Here is a 26308-nt window from a genome sequence, read left to right as displayed (position 1 = left end):
GGGGGAAAAAACACAACTGTAAAGTACAAAAACATTTTAAAAGTTCACTTCAAAAGTAGTTTGAGCAAATACAAGAGATATCTTGTAGCATCCATATATAACATTTTATTAAGAAAATGAACAAAATACATTCTTTCTCCATATGTACATTACATACAACATAATTCTACAATTGCCATTTTTAGCAGATCACTCATTTATTTATTCACAAAGTAGAATTAACACATTTACCAAAGCTGGGATCTGAAAATTATTTGTACTATAAGAAAAAAAAAATCCTAAAAAGTCCATACAGATTGGATAAAAGATAAGCCAGAGATCATGAGGGGAATGGGGAAGATTGCAGAACACGACAGAGCCCAACAATGATTTGAAACAATTGATGTCAGAAGAGATCTGATACCCATAAAGCACTTCTGTTTAAAAGCTCCAACCAGCTCATGCCAGCTTTCCAGAGTCCCATGATTTCCATTTAAGACCATGTGGATACTTTAGGATACGGCCCTGACCCCACATTGCCACAGAAGAGGGGGTAAGAGTAGAACCAAACAAGTTAGCGGTTTTCTCCACACATTGAGTCTCATCTGAAATACTACTGAGGTGCAAAATGTGTGAATCTCAGCTAATGTGCACAGAAATACAATTTTTTTTGAGAGACATTTGCTTAAACGTGGTAAAGAACTCTTGTTTTATGGACTCCTTGCTTCATGTTCATTTTGTCTGTTTTTCTTTTGGCTTTTGACAATAGCTCATCCTTTTTGAGTGTGAGTTTAATTATGGCCATATTAAAAAGTCCATCATAAACAAAGACTCCTCCTCATGGTATGAATATGCTCCATATGCCCATAATGGTGCATAACGGACTTAGAAATTCCAATGAGTCTTAGGGTTGAAATTTCCAATGACCTGAGCAAGGCAGCTCCCTATAGCTTCTGGATAACATTTTACACCCAGAGTTCAGGCTTAAACAGACCTATCAACACAATTATTTTCGGATTGTCTGTCTAGAAAACGGCAATGCTCAAAGGAATATAAATAAGGGTGGGGGGACATATGCTTCCAGCCTGGTCCTTTCTCCATGTGGTAAAAAACAATGGAATGGCTGTGTTAATTTTTTTTTTAATCTTTTCTGGCCTTTACTATGTTTGGTAATGGAAATAAGTCAGGGAAAACAAAATGAACAGGTCTCATCACTTAATTAATACTGGTTTTTCTTCTTTATACTTAGTAATTTCCTAGTTTTTTAAATGATAAACCTATTTTGACAATCACTAACATCAATACATTTTATCGTAAGTCCCATATAAGATATTTAACATTCTCCAACTTTCGGCTCAGCTGGTTACAGCACCACATTTCCAGTCCAGGAGATGTTTTCACAAACAGAAGGAGCGATTCACAGCATTAATAAGCAGACTTGGAAAGACAGATTTTATTGGCTATGGAGGAAGTTGTATCTTTCTTCTCAATCTAATTTTCAGTCCAATTTTGGTTTTGAGAATCTATCTCTATCAGAGGGGATCTTAATTTCTGACTACTGAGTACTTCCAATTTATAAAAGAGCTGACTTTTAAAAAATTCTAACATCTTTCCCAAACTGTTTAGAAATATGCCATATTTGAAAGACGGAATACTGTTTGTTCCCAAGACCAACACAAGAAAAGGAGGTCCTCATCTTCGCTTTCCTGTACTCTTCCTCTGAGGCTAATAACTCAACTGTACATAGCTTTTGGAGTGGGAGCAAGATAAGAATCTCTTTAAAAAGAGCATTTTAAAAATGTATGTGTATGTGTATGTATGTATATTTATAAAGTATGTACGCATAAAGGAATCTGTTCACAGGAAAATGTTACATTATTTTCAACTCTAAATTATGCAGAAGACTATACAAAGTAGTTAATTAATACTATACTATCTACTTTCTTTTCAAAAGACATTTCACACAAATCCAAAAAGTAAGCCGGCTTAAAGAATAAGACAATCATAACACCTCTTGCCCAGGCTAATTGTAATGCTTAGGAAAGGAAGTCCACTTTTATTTTTCTGAACGGATGATTTGTAAGTAAGGAAGAAAATTGTTTACAATTGATCAGTCACCAAAATAATTTTTTTTTCTGGGAAAGGAAAAAAAATCCCAAGAAAAAGATCAGTACATGACTCTTTAATAAATTTATCTTCCCCCACGGAAGACTACTCCTAAGTAACCTTTTGGACTTTGATATCTTATTAAATTTGGGAGTGAGTTGATAATTACTTGGTATTATTTATAACTTGGTATTATTTGAGGCAACACACTACAGCTGTCACTTGCAAACACCTGATGGCATGGCTCTAATGGTGTAGGATCCTCTCCTTTGTTGTAACTGAATTTATAAAGATTTATAAAGCTCTGCCAGTTGCAATGGGATTGGGATTTATTCTACACGCCTCCTCTAATTTAATCAATCACTTTACAGATGTGGAGGAAACCTAAATAAAAAACCAAAATTATGAAATACTTCTAATGCCAAACCCAGATCTCATTATTGCTTGGCAAAGCAGAATTAACAGAGACCCTTGGGATGACATATAATTAATTTAAGGCAAGGAAACTAGTATCAGTTCAATTCTGTGTTACAAGTTATACATGAAATGACAATTTTCCTCCTATGTTAAAGGGCTAGAAAATAAAACCAACCAAATGACATGAGCTAAACTGTAACAAAGGCTTTCTTGAGATTTGTTAACAACGGAGAAATAAAGCTCAAAATTGGCTTTTTGAGTGGCTCCTTATTCATGCACACAGGCTTGTTCAGTATATCACACAGTGTTTCTTCTTCCTGCCAATTAATTTGGCATTCATTAAGTAATGAATGAAACTGAAGAATGATGATCTCCTCAGGCTTTGTGTGGCAGACAGCTCAGATATCTGAGCTAACTGCTGTGACTGCTAGCATCCCAGATGGTACAGAGCTATGTTGCAGCAAGAGCTTAAACTCAGTGAATAAGCAAGGGAGCCCCCAAACTGCATGTTGAAATGTTTTATGGCTGGTTTTCCTGCTGGATCCTTAACAAGGAACTGGTTGTATGTAAGAAGCTGCTCACCTAGTTTAAGATCTAGAGCCCATTAACACTGGATTTTCTGTTTTAAGATCTCAAACAGTTATTTGGAAGAAGGGAAATGCTACTTCCCAAGAAATGCTACTTCCCAAAGACTATTCAGAATTACTGAATATTCTAGAAGCATGAGCTTTGAGGCCTTTTGGTAGTCTTCTTCCCAGCATCTCATTAACAAAATTATTTTAGGGTTAGAAATGAAGAAATTTATTTTTCCTTTCGATTTGTGGACCTCTAAAATCCATAAGCAAAAAGCTCCTATTTTTCCTTCTCTAACATACCCTCATTGTCTTCTCTAGCTCGTTCCTGAAGTTTAATACTTCCAAGTCAAAATGCCTTAGATAAGCAAAATAGGACTTTGCACACAAATGTTTAATAGTTCACTGAGGCTGTCTGAAAAGCAGATAAAAAGGAAGACATTATTTTATAATTAAAAGTGATACCTTAGAACTGGTCCAATTCCCTACCAAACATTTCCCCTTTTTTGCCATTGATCCTACAGCTTTCAGACAACATTCATGTTAAATTCTGTTTTCCAGCAAGCTCAGCAGTGTTTGGGGATAGACAGCACATTGCAAATCTTATTTCCAAATAATGATTCTAATTAAGAAGATAAACTAGGACTACCCTTTCATTTTTGTGTTTTTAAGCTGTTAAGTGGGATCCAGTTCACAATATAAAACTTTAGCCAAAAAGACAGTGATAATTTCCCCGATGGCATTTCTCTCTGCACCACTAGAGAAACTAATTTACTATAACCTCTAATGACTCCTTAGGTTAAGGGCTACAGAAGCTACCGTCAGATGATTTCATTGGCTATGACTGGCCTAAGAGTTAGTCATTTGGAATTGGAGCTAAATTCACATTCTTTTTTTTTTTTTTTTTTTGAGACAGGGTCTTGCTCTGTTGCCCAGGCTGGAGTGCAGTGTCGCAATCATAGCTCACTGCACCCCAAACTCCTGGGTTCAAGTGATCCTCCCACCTCAGCCTCCCAAGTAGCTGGGACTACAGGCACATACCACCACACCTGGCTAAAAAACAAAAATATTTTAAGTAGAGATGGAGTCTTCCTGTGTTGCCCAGGCTGGTCTGAAATTCCTGGGCTCAAGCAATCTTCCCGTGTCAGCCTCCCAAAGGTCTGGGATTACAGGCGTGAGTCACTATGCCCAGCCTAAATTCACATTCTTGAGGGGAAGAGACATATATAAGGCTGCATTATTTTTATTTAAGGAAAAAAAAAGAAAAAGAAAAGCAATCATTTCATGGCAACTGAAGCCACTTCTAATATTCAACTATTTCAGAAGTTTAAAGTCAATTCTTAACACAAATTCTAACTTCAGCAGAAATCAATGTTACTCATGGGAGGTAGGAATAGAAACAAAAAGGTTAAAAAATACAATAAAAAGAAAAGACAAAAGGTAAATGGAAATTCTGATGATATGCTGAATTCAGGAACTCTGCTATCAAACCTGTACTTTACCAATAGTTCTATGACAAGAGATCCTAATGCCAGAAAAAGAGGCCAACACAGGTTTCTCCATTAAAGCTGCCACAGCCATTATTACTATCCCCAAATGAAAATGACTCAAGTACATTTATAGCAATATCTGAATGTTATTAATTTCTTATGAATTTCATTATTCTCTTGTCATAAATAAGGATAATAGAGCATTTGCCCCAGAATGATTTTGATCTTTTTTTTTCCAAGCAATACAATGTCCTACAGAATGCCACAGAAAATCTAGGAAGTCTAGGGCTAAAAAAAAGTGAAGAATAAAGTTACATTAGCTAAGAAAAATAAATGGAAAAACAATTCACAGTATTTGGTGGATAGAAGGAAACCAAAGTTTTAAAAATCATATATAAATAGAACCTCTAATACAGCATTTATTCAGAAAAAGAAAAAGCATTTGGTGAAGAGATCAATATACTGCAGTAATGAGTCCTCACCCAAAACAAATGAGGGCAACATCATTCACGTAAGCTAGTCAGCTTCGTATTATTTCAACAAACTTGGAAATGTCTGCCTTCAACCAACAGACCTCTAGACTAGAAGCTTTGGATAGCCAAGTCATTTCAGCATTAAAACAAATCACAGGGAGATAGAAGCCAGGGTCTAGAACCACAAAAGAATAGCGTTATTTGACTAATAAGGATAACAAAAATCTTTTGTGTTAAAGCATCCAAAGACCTAATCTGTAAGTACTATCATATGTAGACACTGTATGATACTCCTCCAGCCATAAACTTTTTCTGGGCAGCCTTCACATCCTAGATCGGGGCTACCTTAGGAATTCAAAACTTGGTGAGAATTCAGGCAAGAATTTCTACAAAGGGATGAGATTGTGGATGAATGTGGAATTTTAAGAAAAGAAGGGTTAGGAAGGGTGTTTTTTTTTTAATAGTTAGATGACTTTATTTAGAATATACATTGCAATGATTCCCTCCCACAGAAATCACTTCAAACCGTAATTCTCAAATACTGTGCAACATTCAACCAGCTAAGGATTTCACGTGACTTTCAGGAAATAAATGACCCACAATTACCCAGTGAATTCCATGTAGTGTTAAGAATAATTGCAGGTAACTTCTTCATGTAATTACCATGAAATTGAGTATAATTTAGAGAATAAAATCAGGAACATACTCCTAATTGCTTTTTTGATCCATTAAGCATCATTCTCAATCTCTCACTAAATGCTTGGGTGCCTCAAACTAGTTTTTGTTTATAGGCTAGATTTTAAAACACTGTTTTATTATAACTCTGTTAATGTATCTCTACATAGCACTTTTAAGGCAGATGTGAAGAGATCAACTGGAATAAGCTGCCAACCATTTATATACAATATAAATATTTTGCCCAAGAATGCAGTTTTACAAGCTTAAATCACTGAGCTCTAAACCCATCAAACTTTTCTATGATAAACCAGTGACTTTTTAATGTATTCTATCAGTTTTTACTTATTAGACATGGACAGGTCTGTTTTCATATAAATGAAAATCAGGTCTAAAAGATGGCCTTGATAAGAGTTAATACTGTCTGTCAGCTTCAGCACAGAGGTAGGCATTTAAGTCTGAATTCCTTTGCTTGAATAAGAGTGATACATTCTTCAATCAATCAAACTGGCCACATGAGGTCTCTGCCATTACCAAAATAAAATGCAAATGCACTTAAGAGGTGTCTTGAAAATCAGATTATTTCTCATGAAGTACAAGCACTGAAAATAATGTTGGATATCTACTTTAATTTCTGGTTGAAAACAATGTATTATACTAGGAAAAAGGATAAATGAGGTTGAAGCTGGAGATAATACAAATGAGAAAACTGTATCCCACTTAATTTATGTGTCTAAAGTGTTAGCCAGGTGTTTCAATTAGGGATTCACCTAGGCTAGAATAATTGTTAGGTAGTAAAGCATATACACTTGGCTATATAAACAATGTACCTAAATACCAAATTCGATTATTTAAATTATAATCTATGCTGGAATTCTTGGAAATACATGTAGCTCCTCACTAAATTGTGACATGTTGTGAGCAACATGTCAATCTTGGTCATGGATATATGAAGCACTACATTCTCTGCAATCATTTCCAGCAGTGCTCCGATTAAAGCCCCACAGTACAGAGTCTGACTTTTCAATTATCTCCTCAGTACATCTATCTCACTTTGGCAAGAGCAAATGGCTCGCTATGATTCAACCCCATTTAAACATGGCGGTGAGCAAAAAATTTCAGAAATGAAGGGGGAAAAATTCTACCTAAATAAAGTGAGGGAAGATGAAATTAAAACAAACATGTTTTCCAAAAAGACTAGTAGGGAAACATTTAGGGAAAAACAAAAATAAAATTACTGAGGTCAAGAACTTAGTTTCCTCCAAATAACATTTAAGGAACTGATGAAAAAAATTACAAAGCACTGTAAAAATAAATGGTGGAGGGCAGCAGAATTTCACTTGCTTAATCTTTTTAAAGTGCCAGAATTCACACTAAGCAAAACTAGAGCTTTTAAATTTAGGAAGTCTTATTTAGCAAGCTCAAGTTCTTCCTTGTCAATCTTCTGATTTGCACCTGTCTCCACAAAAGATTTAACAGGCTATATTAGTGATATTAACATTTTATGTTCTTGTGTCACTCAGGGGAATCGTTTTATGAAACTGTTGAAGTATGTAAGCAAACTGTATTTACTTGACTGGATAGCCACTTGGTTATTCTGCAGCTACACAAGTTGGTACTTGCTGAATTATATAGCATACCTTTCACAAGTAAAGGTACAGATCAAATTGCTTAAGAAATCACTGTTGACTGCTTTGGGATGCTAGGAAAGCCAAGGAGCCCATGATTCAAGCCTAGAACTAGCAAAAATATATTTCTATCCATCCCCAAAATAAGTAAAACCATGTACTAAAGACAGAATAAAGTGGGACCTCAATGTTTCATTCCTATACATGGTACTTTTTGAAAGTGCAGGTTAATTTCTTCTTTGGTGAGGCCTAATCTTGCTACTCAGGGACATACTTGATTCCATAAAGCTATTCACTCTTAAGAGCCACTGGATCGACCGACACTTCTTAATATGAATCTGCTTTAGCATGGTGGCAGTCAGCTTCATACAACATGCTTTTTGAGCAAATGTAAGCACTAGCCAGATGTAGGTTTCCCACATTGCATTCCACAGCACATCATCAGAAGACATGTACCTCTATCTCTCACACAAAAAATTTGACCCATGGAAAAGTCCATCTGCCATACCTTGTTTTTTAATGAAAAAATATCTGAACCATTCACAAAGTCTGGTCTATGTGCTTAATGAAATGCCTGTCAGTTGTATACCACTGGACAACCACAAACCATTTCTCTTCAAAATAACAATATCCACAAGCAGATATAGAGAGACAATGTGTATAAAAATAAATGAAAGCAAAGCTCTGGAAACTCAGCCTCCTCTCTCAAATGAAAATACTACAGAGATAGCACAAGATAAACGGGAGCCCTGGTTCTGCAGAGCTCTTCTGGACGAAAGAGTCATTTTCTCCTAAAATTGCTATTAAGATATTATTCACTACTAGATCCCTCCTGCTGGTCACTTTTAGAATGGCTCTTAAAAAGGTTCTGAACTATTGTCTCCTCAGTTTAAGGTTTCTGTGACTCAAAGTCAGATGCTATTGTAATATCTACTATAAAATATATCATTATAGAAATATTATATACCAATCTCAGATAGGTGCTTGGGTCAATCTCAGGTTTCATTTTTAGTTCTATGGCCAAGAGTGCAAACTTGAGACCTCAGTTCTGCCTACTGTTTAATGTAACACAAGACAAGTCAATACAGACACAGATATCACCTTAACATACATCAACTGTCCTAGAGAACTATACACTTGTTAAGAATGAAGTAAAGAGGTGAACAAGTGACACCATTTACACGCAGTTGTGTGATGGGAGGCAAAGTGAAATAGGAAGGGAAAAGGCAGGCCAAATGACCAACAGCAACAACATTCAAAATACTTGTAGTGCTGAATCTGTTAATAGTGCTTATTTCCCCCAATTAAAAAAAAAAGAAATAAAAATCTGAAAAGGGTAAACTGCCTAATTTTTCTTTTATACTCATTAATTCTTAAAAGATAAAGTAAGAAAAAATATATATATATATATATTTAACTGGAAAGTATACCAATTTCACTTTATTAGCCTAATTTAGGAATAGGATGAGGAGAGCGGGGTTGAGGTCAGGCATGAAGGAAGAGGGTAAAAACTTGTGATGGTTAAGATCCCTTCAGAACTCTGGTGCAGTCCTCAATCACTGCAGCTTTACTGTCAGTCAGTGGAGCTGCAATCCAAAAGACGGAAAATCGACTCCTGTTTTCCATTTCTGTGTCCAGTGACTCTTCAGTTACAGTGTGATGAGGTCTACCAGGTTGCCTTTAGGAGGAGTCATGCTGTCAGGAAAGAAATTTACTAAGGTGTCAAAGAGCTGAGTTCTTTGAGCATAGGTGTGATCCACATCAGAAAAGCCTGGTGAAGAAGATACAAAGAAACATCCATTGTGTTTAAAACATGTAACAGAAAAACTAGTTGAGACCAGCAGCAATGTATTTTATAATGGAGAAATCAAATCAGGCTTCAAAACCAGGCAGACACTACTGATCTGACCCCAGTTCTACTACCTGGCTGTGGTGTGATCTTAGATAAATTAGTCAGACTTTCTGGCTTTCAGACTTTGCTTCCTCAGCTGTAAGTATGTGATAATCCTGTTTACTTCATACAGTTATTGTGCAGATTAAATGTAGTTACATGAAAAGCGTCTAGCAGAAGGACTGGCACTTTAGTTACAAATAATACTGATCTCTCTTTTTTTCCTTATTAGGTCTTTTCTCTGCTGGTCCACTGAGGAAATTCCACTTGTCTTTTCTGACTTGTTAATGCTTCTGAACCACTAAAAAAGTTTTTTAGTAACAAAAATATAATAAAATCAAAATGAAAGAGGTCTTTAGAAATTAGTCTAAAATCATTAATGTCTCTGAGACAGCTGGAAGTAGTCTCAGGGAACTGAGTGGTAACAGAGACGACTGAGGGAGATACATGTACAATATGCAGAATGGTATCTGCACATAACACTATACCTTTATGCTACTATGTACCAGGCCCTATGCTAGGCACACATTATGTGAGGAATAAGGCAATGAACTACTTTTATCCTGATACACATTAGAAAGCATATGACATTTTTAAAAGGTAGGGACTGTTAATCTAAAGGATTTTTCCCTTAACCTCTAATAAACATTCAATTATCAAGTTCATTCCAGCTAAAGGAATATTCAGTGAGATGCTGTCTTCATCAATTGGTTTATCTCAGCTGCTTCAGATTTCTTACATACAAATGAGATATTTAAGTGATAAAATAAAATAAATAATTTCCCCTATCCCTGAAATAGCTGAGACATGAGAGCGCTGCTAAATGCCATGAGAAACAGAAACAGAGCCATCAAGAGTTATATATGCCATGGTGTTCAGTGAAAGTGACTTCAGATCAGACTGCTTTTCATTCAACTTAGAGTACCATTTTAGGTCCAACCTGTTTTAGTCTTGTAAAAGAACAGGAATAGACCATAACATTGCCAAGGATACCAGTTTCCTGGAAGGAAAATAAACAATACCTCAAGAACAGCACATTCCTTTTTATTTTTTAAAAATATATTGTTTTAAGTTTGAGGGAGAATGTTTACTTGAGATGAGCTTGAGTTTAACAAAGCCCACTATCGGATCATGGAAATGAATGGAAAGAAATACTCCAAAATATTAACAAAGGTTATCTCTGAACGGTGAGATTAGAGTCTTCCTATTTTATGCTTTTTTTTTTTTTGAAATTTCCAAATTGCTTCTTTTTCAACTTTTTATTTTGAAAAATTTCAAACCCACAGAAAAGTTTCAAGAATTGTGCAATGAACACCCCATATAGCCTTCACTTAGATTCATCTCATCAATTAATGTTTCATCAAATATGTTCTCTCTCTCTCTCTCTCTCTGTCTCTCTCCATGTGTGTACCCCACTGAAAATCTTTTTGCAGAACTATTTGGGAGTTTTAGACAGCTTTGCCCCCTATAGGCTCAAACTAATTTCAGCTCAGAACAAGAACATTAACTTACATAACCAATATATATTAAATTCATGAAATTTAACATTGATGTCCCAATAATACCAGTTATTTTTCAGTCACTTTTTTACAGTCATGTTTCCTACTAATCTAAAATCCAATCCAAGATCACACACTGCATTTAGTTTCCAAGTCTCCTGAGTTTGAAATAGTTCCTCAGCCTCTCTTTGACTTTAATGAATATTTTTGAAGAGTACAGAACACTTATGAGTGGAATGTGTTGAATTTGGGTTGCCTGATTGTTTCTTCATGATCAGATTCAGTTTATGCAGTTTTGGCAAGAATGCTACAGAAGTGATATTGTGTGTCCTCAGTGCATCACCTCAGAAGGCATGTGGTATCAGTTTATCCCAATACTGATGATGTTAACTTTGATCATCTACTTAAGTTGGTATATGCCAAGTTTCTCCAAGGTAAAGGTGTTCTTTTCTACCTTTGTAATTAATAAACTATTGATAGGGAGATAGTTTGAGACTGTGTAAATATCCTGTTCTCCCACAGCCCTGCATCCAATAATTTAGCAATCATTGATGATTCTTGCTGAAACAATTATCAGTTATATGATGGTGATTTTCTGACTCTATGACTCCTTCTACAGTTGTTGACATTCTATTGTAAAGAAGAGCTGTTTCTTCCCCTCCTCCCATTTTACTTATTTGTTCGCATCACTGTGTACTCAGGGATTCTTCTCTTGCTCAATGTTATACTCATTACTGTCATCATTCATTCTGATACTCATATTGTCCTAGATTTGACCAGTGAGAGCCTTTTTGAGCTGGCTTCTGTGTCTTTTTGAAATGTACCCATTAATTTTGGGGTACTTCCTTACTTTCTGGTATATATCCAAATTCATCTTTACACAGCTCTGGAGTCCTACTTTCTTTTAGCTGTGACTATTATTTAAAAACCAAACAAGAACAGCTGTGCTAATTGCCAGGGTGTCATTGTTTCTAGGCCTATGCATATATGCCTATCATATGCATACATTGTTTTACACTATTATAGTTCATGCTTTTATTGTTAATTCTAATTTCTTAAAGCCCCAGAGGATTCTTCCTTCTCTTATTCCATTCCATATCTCCTTTCTTCCACCAAGAAAACCCTGACTCCCAGCAACATCATATGTACTCATTTGCTCAACTTAAAATACATAAGAGTTCTAGATTTGCTATATATGTACCACTACCAACCAAACTCAACATTTCTTTGCTTTTGTTTGTAGACTATACCTCACTGAAAGTATACAGTCTAAGCACTGTACTAAAATGGCTTAGTTCTTTCTCTTACGTTCTGAGTATGTAGAAGTACAATGCTGTGTTATATTTTTAAAAGAAGATATTGATTCTGTAATGCTACTCTTTATAAAGTAACACCATTTTCTTGAGATCAAATTATCTAAGAAGGAAAAAACACTGAGTTCCTGTGTGGTAGGTACTTTAGGTATGATTACATTTCATTGTCACACAAACAATGAAGTATTATAATCTCCAGTTTCAGATGAGATGACTTAGAGAGATTCAATAATCTTAAGGTTATTACTATTTTTGTTCTTCATCTACCTCTTTTACACAGAAAGAGATTCAGTAATTCAGTGAAGTCTCACAGCTAGGGAGGGAAGAGATGGAATGTGGAACCCATGTCTGTCTGACTCCAAAGCCCTTTAATTTTTATTAACTCACACTCATTAAGTGCTTAAGTTGTAGGGCAATGTACTAAGCTCATTTAACTCTCAAAGGCACATCTTTTATTTTTATTTACTATTTACCTATGAGGAAATTGAAACTTACACTATCATTAGACGAATGGTTAAATTATGGTAGATCCCTATTATGAATAATTATGTATCACTTCATAAGAATACAACTGATCTAGTGTAGCTTCATAAAAACGTCTACAAGCCACATCATTAACTTAAAAAAACTATGCTGCAGAATATGTTTTTACATTATATAATAAATTAAAACAGCCCATACAAACCTATATATTTATATGAGTGTATGCATGCGTATATACAGTTGATCTTGATCATTTACAGATTCCATATTTGTGAATTTGCCTGTTTGCTAAAATTCATGTGTAACCCCCAAACCAATACTTGTGGTATTTCTGTGGTCATTGCAGACATGTGCAAAGTGGCAAAATATTTGAGTTACCATATGCACACGTCCCCAGCTGAAGCTGAACTCTGTGATCTCTGCTGCTTTCTAGTTTCAGCTCTTACTATCCACAACAGCCCTTTCACCATCTGTTTGGTGCCACATTTTTGTGTTTTTGGTGGCTTCACTGTTTAAAATGGCCCCCAAATGTAGTGCCAAAGTGCTGTCTGGCATTCCTAAGTGCAAAAAGGCCTTATGGGGAAAAATATGCACATTAGATAAGCTTGGTTCAGGTATGAGTTAGAGTGATGTTGACCATGAACTTAATGTTAGTGAATCAACAATATATATTAAATGAGGAATCTTTAAACAGAAACACACATAATACGTGGTTATATATTAATCAGTAGATAAAATGTTGTGACCAGAGGCTTGTAGGAACCTAACTCTGTACTCTTTGAATAATGAGAACCAACTGCATCTATGTCTGTGTATATGGTTGTGTGTGTGTAAAGATGTATTACGTATAAGTGATTATACTTGAGGGTAAAATACAGAGATTGAGGAAAGTTGTTTAAGGAGAATTCTAAGCTTTATATGTAATCAATGTTTTTTTCTAAAAATAAATTAAAAAGGGGTGGGGATCTAGGAAACTCATCAACAGTACCACAACTACTTAAATGGCACTGCTAGGACAAAAAGGTGATGATATTGATTCTAAACCTCATGCTCCTAATCACTATGTTTATCTTACTTTATTTTCATAAATAAAGTAAAATGGAAAGAGGAAGTAACCATTTGAGCAGTGGAAACTGGTAAAGCTCAGTGAGAGGTAGCATATTTAGTGGTTTAGAAAAGGCGCTCTGAAGCCATACTGACAGGGTTTTAATCCTGGTTTGCCATTCACTAGCACTATGCCTGGGCAAGTTAGTTTAGCCTCTCTGTAACCTAGTTTCTTCATATACAAAAGGGGATCATACAGTAGCTACTTCATAGGGCTACTGTGGGGATAATCATGCGTTAAGACATGCAAAGTGCTTAGAAGAGCACTTGGCCCCACAGTAAGTGCTCAATAAATATTAATTAGCTATCAGCATATCACTAGTAGTATGACTGATGACAATGACTGCTCTAAAAAGAAAGTGACCTATTAGGAGTAATTTTTTGTTTTTAGAGATGGAGTCTTGCTACATTGCCCAGGCTGGATTCAAACTCCTGGGCTCAAGAGATTCTTCCATCTCACACCACCATGCCTGGCTAGGAATATACTTTTAACTTAACATCCTACACGTAGCTGGATTTTCCTACTTGTGGTAAAGGAGAAATAACATGAATTCTCATTTTTTTCCTAGCATACACATTATTAAATGTACACTTCTTATTTCTAACACTAAACTTTATATTTGGACTGTAAACTTCTAAAAAGAGTTGTGAGGACCAAAAAAGGACAAACCTGGGCAATACAGTGAGATCTCATCTCTACAAAAAATGTAAAAAAGGAAAAAAAAATTAGCTCAGCATGGTTGTGCATGCCAGCAGTCCCAGCTACTCGGGAGGCTGAGGCAGAAGGATTGCTTGAGCCCAGGAAGTCCAGGCTGCAGTGAGCCATGACTGCACCACTGCACTCCAGCCTAAGTATCAGAGCAAGATCCTGTCTGAATGAATGAATGAATAAATAAATAAATAGGCAACATGCTTTACAGACCAGATTTTTCCTACTTGTCACATACCCTGCTGAAAATAAGTTTAATTGCTCCAATTCATACTTTCTAGAAATAAGATATAGCTCTTAAACTTAGCAAAGTGACTGAGTTCAACCTTAAAAGTGCCTATAGCCACCAGAAGCTCTAAAATCAAGATCCTTGGAGATTTTCTCCGAGATCACTCATTTTTCCAAAACTAAGATAATGTCACCTTCCATCTTTCTGATTCTTTAAAATTTTACATACAATATTAATACTTTTATTTAATTCTCACTAAGGGATGAACATAAATTGGATTATTTCTGGAGGAAGTCATTCAGAAAGTTCGGCTGAGGTTTTTTTTTTTTTTTTTTTGCAGACCTTAGAAAATGAAATATTCATTTATACAATGAAAGGTACAGTAAATAACCCATTTTATTTCTATTCTAATTGGCACAAAGATAGAACAGTCTGACAGAAAATTAATAAGAACAAGAACCAGGAACTCTAAATAGGCATGAAACCTTATGAAAAGTACTTCTTGTTTATAAATACTAAATCAAATTTCTCATTATTAAAATTAGCATACAATCTGAATTTGCTCCTTATCCAAATTCACCAGTGTTACAAAGGTGACTTTTTTAAAAAAATAGAGACAAGATCCTGCTATGTTACTCTGGTTAATCTTGAACTCTCGGGCTCAAGATGATCATCTCACCTCGGCCTCCAAAAGTGTTGAGATTACAAGCATGAGTTATCGCACCTGGCTAGAAGATTAAATTTTTAAGGCAGTCAATAGTAATGGTACCCTGAATGGAGCATTTACTGCTTTACTGTGATAACTATCTTGCAGAATTATTTCATTTAATTCTCTCAGCAATTTGAGGTAAGTATTCCCATTACCTCCATTTTACAGATAAAGAAACTGATAATTAGAAAGTTTAAATAACTTGCTCAAGATCACTTTTAAAAGAGATCCTGACTCTCAACCACCATCTCACATTCCAACCTCCTAATCACTAGGCTATATAATACCTCCCCTCAGACAAGACAGGAAACAACATCCCACAGGAATTTCCCCTGCTTGTATTTTTCTCTTTTTGTGTTTGTATTGTTCTCAGTATATCTGAGGTTTGTTTAGAATCCAAATAAAACAAACTATTCCTGACAAAATATATTAGTTGGCAGTGAATAGGTCAGAGTCAAAAGAAAGGAGTTAAGCTGAAGGTAAAATATTTGCTGACACCACCCTAATTGATATATTTAAATTGCTGCCAAGAAATTCTTGTTCTAAAGGCTAAAAATAAGTCAGTTAGAGATAGTTTAGTGCTATGCACTAATAAATAAAATAATGGGCCTGGGCTGTGGTATCAGACATAAGGCACATAATCATTTAAACAGAATATATGCCAGACCCCCAATTCATGTATCAGTACATCTGTTTCAAATGCTAGAATTCAGAAGGGCATGAACTTTCCAAAATAATGTTTACACCTAGGTTCTCCAGCTCACAGACTGGGGATTTCTAGTAGCCTAAGGTCTTCAACTCGAGTGTATGAATAGTGGTAAATCATTATCTAAATTCTTAGGAGAACCTTCTGGAGTCACGTTTATAGCAGTCTGCTCAGTCTAGTCCTGAGGAATCCTACATATTCTGGAGTTAGAACTTAGGACTGGAGTTGCCTTGATCAGTCGAGAAGCCTCAATCACTCGCTATGGATAAAGGGCAAGACCTCAAGAACACCTCTATTTTTTCATCCCAGTGAAAAGCACCAGAATTATATATACTCTTTTTTCTTTGAGGTACAGTTCACTTTCAAGAGATAAAAGGTCAAATAATGAAGAAACTAAATTGATATCCCAAAGTGTTATTTTATTCCAAACATAAAAAATAGTATTTATATTACATACAATGGAAAATTTCAATACTATTGCTCAACTCTAAGGCAAATAATAACTGCACCAGCATCAATGGGATTAATATGCATTCACTGACCAGAGGAAAGCTGGGAATTTCCATACTTCAAGACGATTATCTTGGTAAAAAATGAAGCTATCATAAGTTATCCTGATGAAAATGCCCTTGAAAATTCACCCAAGTAAAGGTCTGGGTTCTAGAGACCACCCACTTTATTACAGTCTTGGTATTTTTTTTTTTTTTTTTTTTTGAGATGGAGTCTTCCTCTGTCGCCCAGGCTGGAGTGCAATGGCACGATCTTGGCTCACTGCAACCTCCCCCTCCTGGGTTCAAGCAATTCTGCCTCAGCCTCCCGAGTAGTTGGGATTACAGGCGTGAGCCACCGTGCCCGGCTGATTTATTTATTTATTTATTTATTTAAATTTATTATTATTATTATTTTTTGAGACGGAGTCTCACTCTGTCGCCCAGGCTGGAGTGCAGTGGCGCAATCTCGGCTCACTGCGAGCTCTGCCTCCTGGGTTACCGCCATTCTCCTGCCTCAGCCTCCTGAGTAGCTGGGACTACAGGCGCCCGCCACCACACCCTGCTAATTTTTTGGTATTTTTAGTAGAGATGGGGTTTCACTGTGTTAGCCAGGATGGTCTCGATCTCCTGACCTCGTGATCCTCCTGCCTCAGCCTCCCAAAGTGCTGGGATTACAGGCATGAGCCACCACGCCCGGCCTATTTTTTATTTTTAAAGACAGTCTTTCTCTCTGTCACCCAGGCTGGAGTGCAGTGGCATGATCTTGGCTGACTGCAGCCTCTACCTCCTGGGCTCAAGTGATCCTCCCACTTCAACCTCCTAGGTAGCTAGGACTATGGGCGCACACCACTACACCTGGCTAATTAAAAATTTTTTTTTGTAGAGACGAGGTCTTACTATGTTGCCCAGGCTTGGCTCAAACTCCTGGTGGGCTCAAACATCAGCATCCCAAAGTGCTACGATTATAGGTGTGAGCCACTGTGCCCGGCCTACAGTCTAGTTAATAATTCATTAATACTAAAAGAGAGTATTACTAAATTAAGACTAAAGTGTTTGAGAAAAACTTGAGTTTCAACCAGAAGTTATCTTGAACAATTAAGATAACAAAACTCCCATTTTCAGGAAAGAGATAATCTATCTTCTGTGCTCCCAAAACATTGCCTACCCCATCGCTATTCTCTTGACGACACACAATTCCACAAAGAACGAACTGAGAGGAAAAACTATTTAATCAACAAGTATTATCTCATAGTGTGTATCAGTAAAACAGCCTGCATTCCAAGGCAGTGCTATACAAATTAATTTATTTTGACTGTGTTTCTATTGCTATCTGTTTGCATACTAACACAGCAATTGGTATAATAGTCATTGCAAACTGAACTGCAAAATGATACCTCAAAGCAACCTTGTAGCAGGTTATTAGAAATTTTGCATGATACCTTGAAACTTCATTTGCTCATCTATTTGACTGAAACATCTCACCTGATGTTTCACGTAAAAGAAACCAAAATCCAACCTTCCAAATGCTAGGGCATCTAGCTGGATAAATTATACTGCAATACTTACCCAGAGCTGTAAAATCTGAACCAGATTTGAATAGAGCTGATGCCAGGAGCTGAAACTGTTTAAAAAAAAAAAAAAAAAAAAAGAAGCAGCAAATTAGCTGGCTAAGTGCACTGAAGGAAAATAGCCTTCTATAACTTTGACCATTTATCAGCAACTACGTATTTCTGCATATGTGTGACATAGGTCTATTCACCAAATAGTGGCAAGAAGAACACATTCAGATTACAGAATATAATGACTTTTCTACTAGGCTATTATCATTTTCTAAAATACTGGGCCATGTCCTGGAATTATTTTATTTTAAAAATGTATTAAAGTATGTACTTATTAAGGAACAACAGCACAACAAAATAAAAAAGAAAACTGTCATTTGAATCTAACACATATGAACAGATTGGTGCCCTGGGTCCCGTTACTGAATTTTTAGCATATATGCATTCTCATCTCAAAAATAAACGTAAGCCACTGTAAAATACCTGATGTCTCAGCTGTGTAAATCAAAATCTGAGAAAAAAAGCATGTATAGACCATTCCTAAATTACAACTTAGATTGAGATTCCACAATTATATATAATTATATTGTTAAAACCCAAAGACCTTTTTTAATGGACATAATGTTGTAAATGTTGCTTAGATTTCCAGGCTGTCAGTTAAAGTTAGTTTAAAACAGACAATGTAATTGAACAATGAAGAAACAGAGTAAGACAAAACTATTGCAACATTAGCAATTTAACAAATAGGCACAAAATAAAAAATCTGGAGAACTATTTGTATTTATCTTGAATGAGAATGCAGGAAAAGAGACCAGTTAAAGGAATGAATTAGAGCAGACAAACTCCTCAATGGAGTTACTTGGCACTTCCCAAGACTTGAGCAGTTAGTATCACCAAGTCCTCAGGATATATTTCACATCTATGCTTGCAGCCTTTAACATTTCAGATATTAAATCATACCAACATTTGTAAGCCCTGATTAATGGTCCTTTGAAGATCAGAAATTGTACAAATATTCCATAGGTATTTATCTAAGCAAGAGTTATGAAAAGGGGGGATAAAAAGAAAAATTTAAAAATGTATAGAAGTTCTTTATACATTCTGGGTATCAGTCCTCTGTCAGATATATCTACTGCAAAGATTGTTTAGTATGTGGCTTGTCTATTTATTTATTTTTTGAGGCAGGGTCTCGCTCTGTCACCAAGGTGGGAGTGCAGTGGCGTGATCATGGCTCACTGCAGCCTCAACCTCTTGGACTCAAGCAATCCTCCTGCCTCATTTTTTGACTTTTTTTTTTTTTTGGTAGAGACGAGGTCTCACATGTTGCCCAGGCTGGTCTCAAACTCCTGGTATCAAGCAATCCTTCCTCCTAGGCCTCCTAAAATGCTGGGATTACTGGTGTGAGCCACTGAACCTGGCAATGTCTATGTTTTTAAAAGTCCTTTAATGAGCAGAAATTTTAACTTTTTTGAAGTCCAATTTATCCATATTTTTCTTCGATGATTACTGCCTTTAGTTCATGTCCAAGAAATCTTTACCTATCCCAATGTTGTGAAGATAATCTCCTATGTTTTCTTCCCAAAGCCTTATTCTTTTGGATTTTATATTTAGACCTGTAATCAATCTTAAATTAATGTTTCAGTAAACAGTGAGAAAGGTTTGAGATATCCAGTTATTCAGTATCATTTGTTAAAAACTTTCTTTTCCCCGTTGGACTTGGTACCCTGGTCAAAAAACAACTGACCACATACGTATGGGTCTACTTCTGGACTCTATTCTGTTGTACTGATCCATTTGTCTATCCTTAAGCCAGTACCACACTGTCTTGATTATTGTGGCTTTATACAGAGTCCTGAAATCAGATAGCATAAAGCTTCCAATTTTTTCTTTTTTCAAAATTGTTTTGGCTAGTCTAAAACCTTTGCATTTCCATGTAAATTTTATAGTAGTTTGTCTATTTCCTCAATGACAACAACAACAAAGACCAAACTTACACTGCATTAAAATAAAGGCCAATTTGGGGAAAATGGGCAGCTTTAAACAATTTTTAGTGTTTCAATCCATAAATATATCTCTCCATTTATCAAGGTCTTCTTTAATTTCTTACAACAGACTCATTCTACCCATTTGATATGTCTGATGCTAATATAAACTATGCTTTTCATTTTCTAATTGTTCACTGCTAGTATAAAAATTGCTAATAATTGCTTTTTTTTTCTATTGACCTTGTATTTTTGTAATCTTGCTAAATTCACTTGTCCTAGTATATTGTTTTGTAGACACCATGGGGTTTCGAATGTACATAATCATGTTACCTACAAATGCAAACAAATTTACTTTCTCCTATCCAATCTATATGTTTTTTATTGCTTTTTCTTTATTACACTAGCTAGTGTAATTCTGGTAGAATGTTGAATAGAGGGGCTAATAATATACATTATTTCCTTGTCACAATCTTAGGGAAAAGGGTTAAATGTTTAAGAATAGCCCTAGCTGTATGTTTTTCACAGGTGTCCTTTAGGAATTTAGATTCAAGAAGTTTCTTTTTATTCCTAGTTTGCTAAGAATTTTTATTATGAATGAGTCTGAATTTTCTTAGATGCTTTTCTTCACTTACTAAGATGATCTATGGTTTTCCTCCTTCATTCTGTTAACATGGTGAATTACACTGAATTTTTTTTCAAATGTTAAACTAGCCATATATTCCTAGAATAAACCACCACTTAGTCATAGTACACTAACCTTTTAATATATTCCTAATTAACTAAAATTTTCCTAAGAATTTTACATTTATGTTCATGAAAAATATTGGTCCATGATTTTCTTTGCTTGTAACGTCTCTCTTGGGATTTTATTTTATTCTAATTTATTCTGAGATAGGATCCCACTCTGTCACCAAGGTTCAGCGTGCAGTGGTATGATCACAGCTCACTGCAGCCTCAACCTCTCTGAACTCAGGTGATCCTCCCACCTCAGCCTCCAGAGGAGCTGGGACTACAGGCATGGCACCACCCAGCTAATTTTTTGCATGTTTTTGTAGAGACAGGTTTTTGCTATGTTGCCCAAGCTGGTCTCAAACTCATGGGCTCAGGCGATCCACCCCTCAGCCTCCCAAAATGCTGTGATTACAAGCGTGAGCCACCACGCCCAGCTTCTGTTGGGATTTTATATCAAAGTTAACCTGGCTTATAAAAGGATTTAAGAAGTATTGCCTTCCTCTAATTTCTGAGAGTCTATGTAAAATTGTATTTTTTTCTTCCTTCTTTGAATGGTTGATAAAATTTACTGCTATTATGGGCCTAGAGTTTTTTTTGTTAGAAAATTTTTTATTACAAATTCAATCTCTGTAGTAGATATGGAGTTCCTTAAGATTTTCTATTTCTTCTTGTGTCAGTTTTGGTAAACTGTGTCTTTTAAAGTATTTGTCAATTTCATCAAGTTGCGGCTTGTCAATGAAGTTTTCCATACCCACTTTACTTTTAATATATGTAGGGTCTAAACTGATGCCCTCTTTTCATTTGTGATGTGGATAATTTATGTTTTCACTTTTTTTCTTGGTGATATAGTTTGGATTTGCATCCTTGCCCAAATCTCATGTTGAATTGGGGGAGGGGTTTGGTGGGGGACCATTGGATCACAGGGGCCAATTTCCCCCTTGCTGTTCTTGTGATAGTGAGTTCTCATGAGATCTGATGGTTTAAACATGTGTGGCATTTCCCCCCTCATTGTCACTCTCTCTCCTGCCATCATGTGAAAAAGGTGCTTGCTTGCCCTTCACCTTCTGCCATGACTGTAAGTTTACTGAGGACTCCCAGTCATGCTTCCTGTTAAGCCTGTGGGCCTGTGAGTCAATTAAATCTCTTTTCTTCATAAATTACCCAGTCTCAGGTAGTTCTTTACAACAGTGTGAGAACAGGCTAATACACTTGGTAAGTCTTGCTTGGGGTTTATCAATTTATTTACCTTTTCAAAAGGCCAACTTTTCACTTTTAAAATTTCTCCATTGTTTGTTTCCTATTTCATGAATTTCTTATTTCCTACTTATTTGGGGTTGAATTTGTTCCTCTTTTCTAACTCCTAAGGTGAAAAATAAATTGTATTGGCTCTACATATAGGATAAGGAGAAAACTATTATCTTAACAATCTGATTAAATAAGTGAACTGTATGTACTGGCCTAAGGATTTTAACACATACCAAGGGATATTACAGACCTCTTTCCCAAACTCTGGATTCAAATATCCAACAGTCACCTCAACATCTTAAGTTGGCTGTCTCATAGATATCTCAAACTGAACATTTCCAAATTTAAACTCCTGAATGCCAGTCAGGAGTCCCCACAAACCAGTTCCCCACAGAACTTTCTCACTTCAGTTGATAGTAACTCCATCCTTCCAGTTTTTCAGGCCAAAACCTTTGAGTCGTTTCTTTCAAACACTAGATCTAATCTATCATAAAATTCTGTTGGTTCTATCTTTAAAATATATTAAGAATCTGCTCTATTTTACTTCTCACTGCTCTACTATTACTTTGGGCTGAGCTACAGTAACTCCTTGTTGCCCAGGCTGGAGTGCTGTGGCACAATCTCAGCTCACTGCAACCTCCACCTCCCGGGTTCAAGAGATTCTCCTGCCTCAACCTCCCGATCAGCTGGGATTACAGGCGCCTCCCACCATGCCCGGCCAATTTTTTGTATTTTTAGTAGAGACGGAGTTTTACCATGTTGGCCAGGCTGGTCTTGAACTCCTGACCTCAGGTGATCCACCCACCTCAGCCTCCTGAAGTGCGGGGATTACAGGCGTGAACCACTGTGCCCGGCCCAGTACTTATTCAATTCTAATGTACTATATAATTTGCTTCTTTAATGTTTATTGTCTTTCTCCACTAAAATGTAAGTACCTCCTGGGCAGGGATCTTGTTGGGTTTGCTGATACAGCTCCTCTGCCTAGAATGCCTGACCTATTATGGGGAATCGATACACAACTGTTAAATGAATGACACCAGCACTCTGGAAACTCCGCAGAAGTGTAATGAATATAAAATGTGTTATTGTAGCTGAAAACTTATTCTCATTCCTTCTCTATTATAGAAGTCTTCTCTGAAAGTGGTATAATTGATTAGGCATCCTTTTCTCATGGCTTTTCTAGAAAAAAATATCATTTTTTATAAGATTTATTGTAAGTTCATCACCAATTCAGAACCCATGTTCTGAAGACTGGAGGAAGCCAATAACATTTTTTTGTTATATAGTTGATAGTCAGCTGTCAATGTCCTGACAACAGGCACAATGATGATGATCATAACAACTGTGAAAAAAAAAATCTAAAAAACACTTTTTGTGTTTTGAGACTTAAATGAGAAAGTCATTTAATAACATTAAATGTCTGTAAAACATATAAACAGAACAAAAACAAGTTACTATAGAAAATGAAGAACAGTAAGCCCCTTCTCAATGAGTGGAATGATTTCCTACAATGAGATCTACATGTCTCACTGACAAATATCGTGAGTATACATGTGAACTGTTACCAGAGGATTTCTTCCCCCCAAACAGACTGTTGGATATAAAACATTTTAAAAGTTAAATATGTTCACAAATTTTAAAACAAAATATTAATACTATGGACCAGTAATTCTCAATGTCAGGAATGTTTTCTATTTTCTGTTCTTTAAGAGCAGACAGAGGAGAACCTTAGGGTGAGGGCATGGTGTTTTTTTTTCTTTTTTTTTTTTTTTTTTGAGATGGAATCTTGCTCTGTCGCCCAGGCTGCAGTGCAGTGGCACGATCTCAGCTCACTGCAAGCTCCGCATCCCGGGTTCATGCAATTCTACCTCAGCCTCCCCAGTAGCTGGGACTACAGGAGCCCACTACCAAGCCTGGCTAATTTTTTTGTATTTTTAGTAGAGACGGGGTTTCATCGCATTAGCCAGGATGGTCTCGATCTCCTGACCTCGTGATCCGCCCGCCTCGGCCTCCCAAAGTGCTGGGATTACAGGCGTGAGCCACCGCGCCCAGCCAAGGGCATTGTTTTAAAAAGTGTCCAAGGTGATTCTGATGCCAACACACACACACACACACACACACACACACATACACACTTCAACATTTCTTTCTAACTTCTACTAGGGCTCACCAATTCTTGCTAGATTAAGCTTTTATGAAATGGAATGGAAGCTGGTGGCACACAAAATCCTAAGTTGTTACTATTTTAAAAAGAAGAAAAACAGAAACCAGCTACCAAAATTTTAAAAATGGCTCAAATGAACTTGAGATACCTCCCTGTCCTGTTTTTTTTCCCCATTAGTTTAACTTTAAGAACAAACTGTCTTGTTTTCTTTGGCCTACTTGCAGCTCACACAGCTGAAATTATTTACTTTGAAATATTTTGTTTTGGCTTCAAAAATAAGGAAAAAATGATTGTTCCCAGTTACAGCTATTTTACATAGAATATGGAGAAAATACAAGGAAATCTATGCATAACTCTCAAATGCATGGCATAACAAAATTAACATTAATGGACTCTTCACAACTAAGTACAGTTATAAGTCATAAAAGATTAAATCAAACATATTCTGCCACTTGGCAAAACTATAATTATTTCTCCTATTTGCACAGTGTCATGAATTGACTGAAAACTCAAGGAAAGACAATTAACTGTCCCCCTTCATGGGGGTTCTAAAGCATGTCCTGCAGATTCTCTACCTACTGAAGGGCCATAATCAATATTGAGAGACTTAGGACTTAATTTTATAGTACGAAACTATGAAAGAGTATCTCTTTGTTATGGTGCTGAAGACATGCAGCCTCTATTGCTTGAAAGTACAATGAACCTGGAGCCTGAAAGTGATTCAACATTAAATCTGACACCTGTGTCAATGCTCAAGCATGCCGGGCACAGCTTGATACTGCTATTACAAAGCCAAAGCAAGGCAGGAGCTAACACGGAAAGAGACCTAAGGGTCAGAACTACATATAATCAGCACGAATTCTGTGAGTGGAAGGCAAATGCACTGCAGTTCAGATATTGCTAGATGAACAAGGATGCCTGGAAAAGGAAAAAATGACAAAAACACAAAAATCATTGCAGGCATTTTCACACACCATGGATAAGCAAACATGTCCTTAAGGATATGAAATCTTCAGAAACAGTTGTTTCTATCCCAATGTTATGTAACAAAAAACTGAAAAGTAATGATTGGCTAACTGATTTCTCAATCTTAGCAACTAGTGATGAATGAAATTAGTAGCCTATAGACAAACAATACTGCTACAACATTCACATAACTAAATATTAAGGCACCAAGGATTCTAACTCCCACCAACCTCTCTTCATTTTCTCCCTAAGCAACAGGGGAGTTTTCTTTCCTCTCTTGGGGGATCTTAACTATCCACAGAAAAGTTTATATTGAACCATTATGTAATCCTTAAGTAAAATAATCATGGGACTATGGACAAAGTAAAAATTTCTATTTGCTTTCCAAAACACAAAACTAAGTTAAAACTTTATACCTGATAATCCTTTTCTGAATGGACCAAGGGTTTTTGGTGACTTGAATCTTATCACACGAAAACATGCCTATTCAATTTTTATTTCACCTGCTCTGTGACATTTTAAAGATTACTGATGTCATCATATTTTCTTCGTTTTCCTTTACACACTCAAGAGCAAAATCATTAAATATAAGTTAGGAAGACATTTAAAAATACTTAATTTCTGAAATTTATTACCACCTTTCTTTACCTCTTTTGTCTCTTCTGGGTCTGAATGATCCACAGTTATATAAAGATCATTTTGTAAATATTTCAGAGCACTAAGGGGATCCACTTGGGCCTTTTCTTCAAACCTAGAAAATGTACACAAGGATAATTATCTGGAGTTATGAGAAAATATCAGAAATGTCTTTCAGACCTGGAATAAAATACACTGTTATACTGAGTATGAGGAGTTGTTCTGGATATTTAGAAAATGTCAGTTTAGGAATCCAGAATTAACAATACTGCCAGGTAGATAGTGTAGTTGTGGAGTTCTTGGAAATGTAATGGTAATGCCAGGTGGTCACAGGCAGCTGTGGTGCTAGAGACTGGGTAGGAGCATTTCCTATCTTCTCTTAAAACTACAAGGTAGCACTAAACCAACTACCAAACAAAGTGAATATACTACGTATTTTATAAAACAGAACTTCAGAAAATCCCAATGTGTTTCATCCAAAACAAGTAGACATAAAAATAAAAACACTTGCTTAGATTTGTGTATTTTCTAATGGAGATGCTTAACA

The 26308-nt window shown here is 36.1% G+C and overlaps 1 protein-coding gene across 6 annotated transcripts in view; it reads right to left on the bottom strand.

Moving 5' to 3' along the window:
- Window positions 1–85: 85 nt before the first annotated feature.
- Window positions 86–26308, bottom strand: part of MKLN1 (muskelin 1) — a 386539-nt gene continuing 360316 nt past the window's right edge. For 4 of the 6 annotated variants that reach the window (NM_001145354.2, NM_001321316.2, NM_013255.5 and 1 more), the window contains 3 exons: window positions 25774–25876; window positions 18041–18095; window positions 86–9111 (listed from right to left, as the gene is read on the bottom strand). In NM_001145354.2, coding sequence (NP_001138826.1) covers window positions 8990–9111; window positions 18041–18095; window positions 25774–25876 — 280 coding nt within the window. In that variant the 3' untranslated portion in view covers window positions 86–8989. The remainder of the gene's footprint in view (window positions 9112–18040; window positions 18096–25773; window positions 25877–26308) is intronic. The other 2 variants (XM_047420401.1, XM_006715993.4) reach the window with 1 other exon arrangement.

The sequence above is a fragment of the Homo sapiens genome, chromosome 7, assembly GCF_000001405.40.
Source record: "Homo sapiens chromosome 7, GRCh38.p14 Primary Assembly".
In the NCBI taxonomy this organism is placed as follows: domain Eukaryota; kingdom Metazoa; phylum Chordata; class Mammalia; order Primates; family Hominidae; genus Homo; species Homo sapiens.
This window is presented reverse-complemented; position numbering and strand designations above follow the sequence as displayed.